General features: G+C 38.3%; 1 pseudogene; it reads left to right on the top strand.

The window, feature by feature from the left end:
* Positions 1–667: 667 nt before the first annotated feature.
* LOC392226 (serine/threonine-protein kinase PLK1-like) lies at positions 668–2148 on the top strand (annotated as a pseudogene).

Below are 11619 nucleotides of genomic sequence, written 5' to 3'. Positions count from 1 at the left end.
AAGATACTACATCTGGTCCAATTGGCCGATAAACATATGATCTCATTGGCCATCAGGAAAATGCAAATAACAACATTTTTTATTGAAGCACTTTATAAGCATTTCAGTTGCTATTTTTGCTAAAACTTAGTTGCATTTTCATTTCATTTTATCAATTGTGAAATGTTCATAGGTTTCCCATTTAGATTCTGACCATTGTCAGAATTAAATAGCAGTTAGGATGGCCAAAGTATTCTAAATATTTTTTACTGAGCCTGTGAGTGGAAATAAAGAGGACGTGATGAACTTCCACTTCTCACCACTGCCTCCCATTAATTAGGCTTGTCATGGCCAGGTCTCTTATATTGTTTCCATTATAACCAGAGAGGAAAGAGCCAAAAGCCTTAAAGAAAGTGGGTTTAGGAATTCGCGGAGGAGCGGAGAGGTGCGGAGCCTCTGCTGGGATCCACGTCTGCTGAGCAGCTCCAGGAACATGACTGCAGCGGTGACTGCGGGGAAGTGACACGGGCACCGGCCGTCCCTGGGAAAGCCGGGGTCCCCGGAGTTACAGCTCCCGGAGCTCTGGCGGCTGCTTTACCGGCTAAAGAGATCCCGGAGGTCCTAGTGGACCCGCGCAGCCGGCAGCGCTATGTGTGGGGCCGCTTTTTGGGCAAGGGCGGCTTTGCCAAGTGCTTCGAGATCTCAGACGCGGACAACAAGGTTGTGTTCGCGGGCAAGATTGTGCCTAAGTCGCTACTGCTCATGCCGCTCCAGAAGGAGATGTCCATGGGAATATCCATTCACCGCAGCCTTGCCCAGCAGCACGTCGTAGGATTCCATGGTTTTTTCGAGGACAACGACTTTGTGTTCGTGGTGTTGGAGCCCTGCCGCCGGAGGTCTCTCCTGGAGCTGCACAAGAGGAGGAAAGCCCTAACTGAGCCTGAGGCCCGACACTATGTTGTCTGCGGCAAATTGTGCTTGGCTGCCAGTACCTGCACTGAAACCGAGTTATTCAAGTTATTCACCGAGACCTCAAGCTGGGCAACTTTTTCCTGAATGAGTATCTGGAGGTGAAAATAGGGGACTTGGGACTGGCAACCAAAGTCGAATATGACGTCCCAGCCCGTCTCCCCATCACCTGCCTCACGATTCCACCGAGGTTTTCCATCGCTCCCAGCAGCCTGAACCCCAGCAACAGAAAGCCCCTCACGGTCCTCAATAAACACTTGGAGAACTCCCTGCCTGAGCGTCCCCGGGAAAAAGAAGAACCAGCAGTTTGAGAGACGCGTGAGGTGGTCGACTTCCACCTCAGTGATATGCTGCAGCAGCTGCACAGCGTCAGTGCCTCCAAGCCCTCGGAGGGAAGGCTGGTCAGGCAAGAGGAGGCTGAGGATCCTGCCTGCATCTCCATCTTCTGGGTCAGCAAGTGGGTGGACTATTCAGACAAGTAGGGCCCTGGGTATCAGCTGTGTGGTAACAGCCTGGAGGTGTTCTTCAATGATTGTAACAGCCTGCAGTACATAAAGTGTGATGGCACCGAGTCCTACCTCACCGTGAGTTCCCATCCCCATTCCATGATGAAGAAGATCACACTCCTTAAATATTTCCGCAATTACTTGAGCGAGCACTTCCTGAAGGCAGGTGCCAACATCACGCCGCGCGAAGGCGATGAGCTCGCCCGGCTGCCCTACCTGCGGACCTGGTTCCACACCCGCAGCGCCATCATCCTGCACCTCAGCAACGGCAGCATGCAGATCAACTTCTTCCAGGATCACACCAAGCTCACCTTGTGCCCACTGATGGCAGCCGTCACCTACATCGACGAGAACCGGAACTTCCGCACCTAACCACCTGAGTCTCCTGGAGGATTAAGGCGGCTGCAAGGAGCTGGCCAGCCAGCTCCGCTACGCCCGCACCATGGTGGACAAGCTGCTGAGCTCGTGTTCTGGCAGCAACCGCTTCAAGGCCTCCTAATAGCCGCCCACCCCTCCGGACTGATGCCCTCCTGACTCCTACCTGCACCTGGGGCCCACATTGGTTGGCTCCCGCAGTGCCATGTCTGCAGTGTGCCCGCGAGCCCCGGGGGCTGGGCAGACCTGCATCATCCTTGAGGGTGGGGGTTGCTGTGTAAGTTATTTTTTGTACATGTTCAGGTGTGAGTTCTACAGCTTTGTCCCTTTCCTCTCAACCCCACCATATGAATTGCACAGAATATTTTTCTATTGAGTTCGGGACTGTCCTTTCCTTGGCTTTATATACATTAAACAGATGGGAATCTTCTAAAAAAAAAGAGGGGGGCGTTTAGTTTTTTTTTTTTTTATAATCTAGGCATCTTAGAAGGATAAAATATTAGAGACAAAGAGGGGAGTTAAAAGATCTAAATTGTTTGTAATTACGTTAGCCACTGGAAAGTATAGTCTGGCAGTCTTTTCAGTATAGAAATAACCTATTATTTGCCTCACGGAGATGTGGAAAGTGAAGGTATACAGCCATGGCTTGACAGACATCACTGCTCACTGGATACAGCAGGCCTAATGCAGGTTACATCTCGTGTTTAACTTTTTTTTTTTTTTTTTTCTGGTGGAAAAGTCCTCCAGCTCCTAGACTAGATTTTATGAGGAGATGCTTGCAAACAGAGAAGTAAATCAGCTGAGAAGAATAATCATATGCAGCTCCCACCTTTGGGTGACTGATAATGAGCAATGTAGAAAACTAAGCATCTGTAATTCTTCAGAAAGGGTGGATTTGGAAGGGTAATTATACTGTGAGGCAGGGTGAAAAAAAATATTCTGTAATGAGGAAGGAAGCTGGAAATCTTGGACTAAAACTGAGAAAAAAGTGATAATCTATGTTAGGTCACTAGGACCTATCTCCATATTCCTTGGCTAACATTGAAAGGAGCCCTTTTTAAAAAAAAATATTTATTTATTTATTTGAGACAGGGTCTCATTCTGTCGCCCACGCTAGAGTGCAGGGCCGTGATCTCGGCTCACTGCAGTCTCGACCTCAACCTTCTGGGCTCAAGAGATTCTCCCACCTCAGCCCCTTGAGTAGCCGGGACTACAGGTGCACATCACAACCCCTAGCTACTTTTTGTTTGAATTTTTTGTAGAGATGGGATTTCACCATGTTGCCCAGGCTGGTCTCAAACTCCTGAGCTCAAATGATCCTCCCATCTCAGCCTCCCAAAGTGTTGGGATTACATGCATGGGCCCACTAGAGTGGGCTGCAAATACACAAGCCTTGTTTAAAAAAATCAAAAAGTTCTTCTAAAGTCATGAGCAACACTGTTAAGGAGTCCACCCTTGTTTTAGTACAACTGAGGGTTAAAGTAAGAGATGAGGCCAGTATTATTTTTGCTCTAAAATAACAGACAAGATCATGTTGCTTTTATAAGGGTTGTTTTTTGTTTATCAGGTAATCTCCAGAAGAGTAAACTGTCTTTATTCCAAAATTATATAACCCCTGCCCTAGTCAATGTTGCCTTAGCATATAGGAATATCAAAGGAATCCCAAGTATCTTTCAAACACTTACTGTTTGATTAAATTTATCCAGGAGAGAGGTACCTTTCATCAATAGAATTATCAGCCAACCTCTCTCTTTTGTTAAACTGCCAACTATTGCATGACCTGTATTTTGATTCATAATTACACAGGCAAAGACCATGGATTTTTGCATTATCTATTTTGCTACAAAAAGACATAGAAAGGGCCAAAGATCCATGAAGGCCAAATAAAGGATTAAAACTATTAGAACTAGGGTATGAGTTATTTAAATAGTTACTCCTAACATATTTTCTGCTAGTCAAGAAAAACTAAAAGTATATTTAGCAAAAATAAAAATACAATATAAAGACCATAATTAAAATAAACAAGAAAACAGAGAAATGTAAAAATTCAGACAAACTAGAACTTGCTAAAAATAAACCCAAAAAGTAAAATGTAAAAAATTAAACAAAAAATGTTCAAATGGTTGAAATATACTTAGGACATTTAACAAAAGTGTTAAAAGTTTAAAAGATACAACAATATAATTAGATAAAATAATGCAAAATGGATTTAGTCAAAGACTTGAAGGAGAAAAACAGACTAAAAAGTAAAAGTTAAATGTACAATGACAATATTCTAAGAATTAATAACATGCCTTGGTAGCAATGTCTTTATAACAGAAAGCCAGTGCACACAGCACAAAATGCTTTACCTATGTATTTGCACCAAAAGCCTTAATTTTTTTATTTTTAATCAATATTTCCTATATTTAGAAACTGAAAATCACCCAATATATGGGTAAAATTTTACCGAGTTAAAATACTCATCACATTTATAATAGTAAATATCAGAAACATTTAGCTATAACAAAAGTTTAAATATTATAGAGCTTCAGTGGTCAGCTACTACTATCCTGGGTCCCATACACTACTGTTAACTCAAGGGTTTCTCTCCTGCAGTTCTCTCTGTATCTTGAATCACCAAATTACTGTTATTAGTATAAAACATACTTTAATATTTTTTCACATCTCAAAATATACTTCATCCAGTAAATCACTTATAACCAGAATGTTTACAAACCCTAAAAATCAGTAAGGATAAGAGAGCTAACCAAAGAGAAAAGCTGGCAATTGACACATTCTAAAAGATACTACATCTGGTCCAGTTGGCCGATAAACATATGATCTCATTGGCCATCAGGAAAATGCAAATAACATTTCACAATTGATAAAATGAAATGAAAATGCAACTAAGTTTTAGCAAAAATAGCAACTGAAATGCTTATAAAGTGCTTCAATAAAAAATATTTAGAATACTTTGGCCATAGTTTCTTAATATATGTCTTTTCTATGACCTAGCAATTTGATTCCCAGGTATAAGCCCCATGGAAATTCATACATAAGTCACCAAAATCCATGTACTAGAAAATATATGACTAGTAACTAAGAAATTATCAATAGCACATAATGGCACTATGCATAATCATCCAAAATTGTGAGCTTTTCAGATTCCCTTCAACGCTATAATGGATAAATAAATTATAGTACATATATCGAGACAATAGAAAATTAAATAGCAGTTAGGATGAAGAACCTATAACTACTCGTAACAAAATGAATAATTCTCTCAGAAAATAATACACAGCAAAGGAAACCAGAAAGAAAAGATTACCTAACCCTCTAGTGTTGGACTGTAGTATAGGGGTTGCCCTTTTGGGGGTAATTTTTGAGTGCATGGAGCACTGGGGGCTTCTGGGAATGTAGTAATGCTCTTTTCTTTGTTCTTCAGGCTGTTGAGTTTCTGAAAATTCATCAAGAGCTATATTTAAAATATGTGCACTTTTAAAAGTATGTATGCTTAAATTAAAAGTGAAAAAAAAACACTTGACCCCACAGTGCCCTCTAACTACCACATGTGCATCTGACCTTTTATAATAAGCCTTCTTAAATGAGTGTTCTGTACTTGCTCCATTTACTGTATCCACTTTCTCACACTGTTTTCTTTGTAGATCCCATGTCAATAGGCCCTTTGTGCTGGCTTTTCAACAGTGAGACTTTTCAAGGCTGCCTGAACCAATGGTTAGCTTTCAGCCTTCAACTTAATCAACCTCCCAGCAGCACTTGACATATTGATCTTTTCCTTATTCTCGAAAAAATTTTCCCCTTAGCTTTGTGACACTACATTATCCCCACTGGCCACTCCTTTGTAGTATCTTTTTCTCAATATAACATAAAATCAGGCAAATAGCATAACTACAGTTCAGAAAATACTACAAACGTCAAACTCACTGTAAGTACAAAAAAAATTGCCGATTTTCAGCAGAACCATCTCTCAAATTTTGTATAAAGGTGGGGCTGGGGGTGGATGCTGGAAACACTACTGAGGAAGATGGAATGAGAGAAGAAAGGGCCTACGACTGACTTAAAATCACCCCCAGAGAGGAAACATCCACTGTAAGTGTGAAAATACTGGAAAGTATGTCTGGTAAATCAGTGCACTGGCTGCAGAAAAGGGATATAATAGTGTGTGGGATGCGTGGTGACTGAATTGAGAGGCAATGCTTTCAAAGAATAAGAGTACAATAAAGGGAGAGGCATCCTTTGGAGAATGGAAGGAGAAATGGAAAAGAAGCAAAAGGGAAAATATTGTGATCCTGCTAGAAAAAAAAAAATAAAATCCAGGGCATTTAGTCTCTTCTCACACTAACCAAATAAACAAACTAAACAAGGGCAATAATTAAAGATGTGCAGTCTACGGCCACTCCACCCTGAACGCCCGCCCGATCTCGTCTGATCTCGTAAAGATGTGCATTTGCCAACACTGACCTAAGAAGATGCTCTTGATACAGGAAACTTGTAACTCAACCTGCTGGCATTCTGTCCACAAATTGCATAAATGTAAACAGTCTTCATCTACACAGTTACTACAAAAGAAAAACAGAGTGAGAAGCAGGCATTTTACCTGATGAAAATTATCTCTCAAGAAACCAACCACAAAGCAGAAGAGTCTAACACAATATTTCAAACTAAATTAAATAGTCTCAGACAAGCAATTGTGGATATATATAACAAGAATAAGAAGTTCATATATTAAGGAAGAAATGAAATGAAAGTTGATTGAATTCCAAGAAGGAGCAGGAGGAAGCAGATGAGGGAATGAGAGGGGATGAGGAACAGGGAGCGGGAGAGAGAAGACACAATTTCATCAGCAGTGGTGACTAAATTATTAGGAACCCAAGGGAAAATATGCTTGAACAAAAACTTAATAAGGGACATTGGAGAAAGGTAGGAAATTACCAAGAGAGGGAAAATGAGATATAATAAGAAATAAAATGGTGAGAAGGAAAGTAGCTAAATAAGTAGAAAGCAGGCTAATAGCAAAAAGTCATATAATATGAAGTCTCTGACAACAAAAAACAATAATAAAGCAAAACTAGTATGGAATTTTTTAATATAAACATTCCTGGAAATAAAATAAAGACTTTTTTTTTTTTTTTTTTTTTTTTTTGAGACCGAGTCTTGCTCTGTTGCCCAGGCTGGAATGCAGTGGCGCGATCTCTGCTCACTGCAAGCTCCACCTCCCGGGTTCACGCCATTCTCCTGCCTCAGCCTCCCAAGTAGCTGGGACTACAGGCACCTGCCACCATGCCCGGATAATTTTTTTGTATTTTTAGTAAAGACTTGGTTTCACTGCGTTAGCCAGGATGGTCTCAATCTCCTGACCTCATGATCCACCTGCCTCAGCCCTCCCAAAGTGCTGGGATTACAGGCATGAGCCACCGCGCCTGGCCCAGACTCTTTTTAAATATGGAAGACACCTAATAGGTTCCTGAGCACTTTTCTTGAAATGTCTGTGGAAAAATAAAGTTGGAAGGAATAAGTCACAGCAAATGACATTTGGCAAAATCGTTAACACCTACTGGAGAGAGAACCAAAGACCATCTTACCCTATTTACTACTGCTAAGCTATGGTATCTGTTTGCTTACACACTAACATCACTTCTAGAATTAATCTACTTTGGCATTATTTATAAATTCCCAGGATGTGTGTGTGTGCCTGTGTACCCATCCAGGACCTCCATTTCTCTCCCTTGGTCTTGATGTCAAATGACATCAAGGGGACTCCTTTACTTTAAGTTTCCCTGAATGAGTAGTGAACTTTTGAATTTCTTGCCCTCACTGGCCTTGGTGAGGTGTGTTTTGACATGGGATACCCTCAAAGGAGAGAGAACTGGCAAGGTTAGACTTTAGCAATGGCCAGCCCCAAGAAGTATGTTAATAAATCTGTAAGACTGTAATGATTTAAAAAATCCTTACCAAGCAAATCCTTTTGACTTATAGGCAAAAAGATCAGTAATTTAAAAGGACAAGATAATCAGATTTCTTTAAAGCAACATAAAAAGCAAAACAATAATATAGCAGCATTTTCATGGAAAAAAAAGTGAATCAAATATTTTACATTCAGCAAAACTACCATTTAGGTATCAAGGCTGTGAAAAAAATGATTGTAAACATTCAAGAACCCAGGTTGTGCAGTGCTCACAGTTCTTTTTGAAGAATCTATCAGAGCTTTAAAACCAAGAGATGACTGGGGGGGAATCATCAGCAAAAGATATCATGATGAGCACTTATTTATTGAAGTGTAGAACTGAGATTATGGCTAAAGTGGGGAAGAAGGTGGAATAATGGTGAACGAGTGTTATGTATTTTGATAAAGTAAAAATAATGCACTAAAATAATGGAAAAAAGCAAAAGAGGAACATGGGATAAGCTCACTGATTTTTATACAGGCAATAGTCAGGAGTCAGAAGATACTATTAAAAATCAACAAACCTAATAGTAAATGTTTAGATAAGAAACAAGATACTGAAAACATTAGAAAGTAATAAGTAAAAAAGTAACCACTAGAAGAAAATACAAACTATTCTAAATACCAAATTTAATTTAAAATGTAAAAGAACAAAGTAAACCCAACTAATGCAGGAGACAAAATAAATATAATATAATACAATAATTATACAATTATAATTATATAGTTATAAGAAATATAAAATGGGTTATATTAGTCATTTCAATAAATGTGAATTGGTTTAACTCAATTATTAAAAGAAAACTTTGAGTTTTGCTAACAAAGAAATACTAAGCTATAATTCTGGACATAAGATATCTAAAAAAATAGGAAAGCTCAAGGATATATCAGTCAAATGCAAACAACAAGAAAGCAGGATTTGTGACCCTGTTAGGCAAAGTCAAGTCAAATAAACAAACAAAAAATTAAGTAGGAGAAAGACACTTTTTATCATAAAAACCACAATTCCTAATAGAAGTAACAACTATGACTATCTACACACCAAATAATATTTTACATTGCTACCTTTACAGAGGAGAAACTACAGGAAATTAAAGGAGATGAAAAAAGATGAAAGAAGAAACAGATAGAAAGACAGTAATAAGAGAAGACCTGAATATCATTTACAGTATGACAGACTGAGTGTTTAAAACAATAAGGATATAGAGGACCTAAATAACATAATCAATAAGATAAGGTACATTGCATAAGTATAAAACAAACTGTACACCTACTTAACAGAAGATGCACCTTTATTTCCAGTGCACATGGAATATTAAATATTGATCATAAATTCCATGAATGATTTCCTGAGCCATAAGAAAACATCTGTAGCTGGATAATATAGAGGTATTATGAACAATACTTTCTGACTGCAATGCAATAAAATAGAAAATACTGACACCTCTATAATTTACTTTCACTTAAAAATGTACATAGAAAAGAAAATCTATTTTTAAAACCCTTGAAATAATCTCCATGAATGAAGATAATTCAAACTAAAATACAAAATATCTTAAAATAATGATAAAATAGACTACATATTATATACATTCAAAGCAATTCTCAGAAGAAAACTAATATGTTTAAACCATTATAGCAATAAAATGTAAAGTATGAAAATAAATGAACTATCTTTTTTCACTTTCTTTTTCTTTTTTCTTTCCTCTTCTTCCCTTGTCTCTTTTTTTGCTTCCAGACTGATTCACTGCAAGCTCTTTAGTGGGGCAGAACAAGGCAGATGACTATTCTACAAAGGGAAGGCAGCCATGGTGGCCCAGAGTCAGTAGTTGGAGCTGCTGGAATGAGGATGACATCTAGACAGAAGAGAACATTCTCCACCTAAAGCAACCAGGGCTCTTTGAAGAAGTGACTGAATCCAAGGCTGGGACATACAGCATTTGTGTGTGTGTACCAGAAAGCATAAAAGCACTCAAATAATAATGGGGACATGTCAAAAGGGCACAAAAGCCAGTGTACTACAATATAAGCATCACATAACTAATGATAGTAGCATATTTCAGCCCACTTATTAAAATAGGAAACTATGATTTTATATTGATGTAAATAGATAGACCTAAAATTTGTTTAGTAACTGAATTGTACATATTTTCAAAGTTTCTGCCCCTAAAATTATTAATTATAAAAGAATAAGTACCTGTATAATTTGAGTGTAGAAAAAAATGTTCTAAATAACACTGAAAAATATAAGGATAATAAAAGAATAATCTATAAATTTAATCAAATAAAACAAATAATAGAGTACTTTTATATGGCCAGATCACCATAAGCAAAGTTAAAAGACAATTTACAAATTGAAAGAAAATACTTTGCAGCACACATAGCAGATAAAGAACCAATATTAATAATACAAGGAATATTTAAAACCGGGGGAAGAGAAACAAATTTCTCATATTTCTATATATGAACAAAAAGATAAAGAATTTACAAAGAAAATATTTAAAATGATCTTAACACATATATTCACTTTCACTTATAATACGAAAAATAAAATATAACTACCCTGGATCTATTACTCAGCTCTGGAACTGGCAAAAATTAAAGGTTTCACAACCCAATTTATTGGTCAGATGCTGGAGAAACACAAGAATAGGAGAGAAGGAGTGAAATAGGGAGAGAAAGGGAGAAGAGACATTGAGTGAATGATAAATCATATGGGACAAAACGTAACAAATGGTGAAGCTTGGTAAGAAATCTTGATAAGTGGTGTACAATAGTTCTTTGTACCATTCTTGTAATTCTTTCATGTGTTTGAAATAAAGGAACAAAATAAAATGTTGAAAAAACTAACAAAACCATAAAAACCCTAGAAGAAAACCTAGGCAATACCATTCAGGACATAGGCATGGGCAAGGACTTCATGTCTAAAACATCAAAAGCAATGGCAACAAAAGACAAAATTGACAAATGGGGTCTAATTAAACTAAAGAGCTTCTGCACAGCAAAGCAAACTACCATCAGAGTGAACAGGCAACCTACAGAATAGGAGAAAATTTTTGCAATCTACTCATTTGACAAAGGGCTAATATCCAGAATCTACAAAGAACTCAAACAAATTTACAAGAAAAAAACAAACAACCCCATCAACAAGTGGGCGAAGGATATGAACAGGCACTTCTTAAAAGAAGACATTTATGCAGCCAACAGACACATGAAAAAATGCTCATCATCACTGGCCATCAGAGAAATGCAAATCAAAACCACAATGAGATACCATCTTACACCAGTTAGAATGGCGATCATTAAAAAGTCAGGAAACAACAGGTGCTGGAGAGGATGTGGAGAAATAGGAACACTTTTACACTGTTGGTGGGACTGTAATCTAGTTCAACCATTGTGGAAGTTAGTGTGGGGATTCCTCAGGGATCTAGAACTAGAAATAGCATTTGACCCAGCAATCCCATTACTGGGTGTATACCCAAAGGATTGTAAATCATGCTGCTATAAAGACACATGCACACATATGTTTATTGCGGCGCTATTCACAATAGCAAAGACTTGGAACCAACCCAAATGTTCAACAATGATAGACTGGATTAAGAAAATGTGGCACATATACACCATGGAATACTATGCAGCCATTAAAAATGATGAGTTCATGTCCTTTGTAGGGACATGGATGAAGCTGCAAACTATCATTCTCAGCAAACTATCACAAGGACAAAAAAAAACAAACATCTCATATTCTCACGCATAGGTGAGAATTGAACAATGAGAACACTTGGACACAGGATGGCCAACATCGCACACCGGGGCCTGTTGTGGGGTGGGGGAGGGGTGAGG

This window comes from Homo sapiens, chromosome 8, assembly GCF_000001405.40.
Source record: "Homo sapiens chromosome 8, GRCh38.p14 Primary Assembly".
NCBI classification, from domain to species: domain Eukaryota; kingdom Metazoa; phylum Chordata; class Mammalia; order Primates; family Hominidae; genus Homo; species Homo sapiens.
The sequence above is the reverse complement of the archived record's forward strand: the minus strand, read 5'-3'. Positions and strand labels throughout refer to the sequence as shown.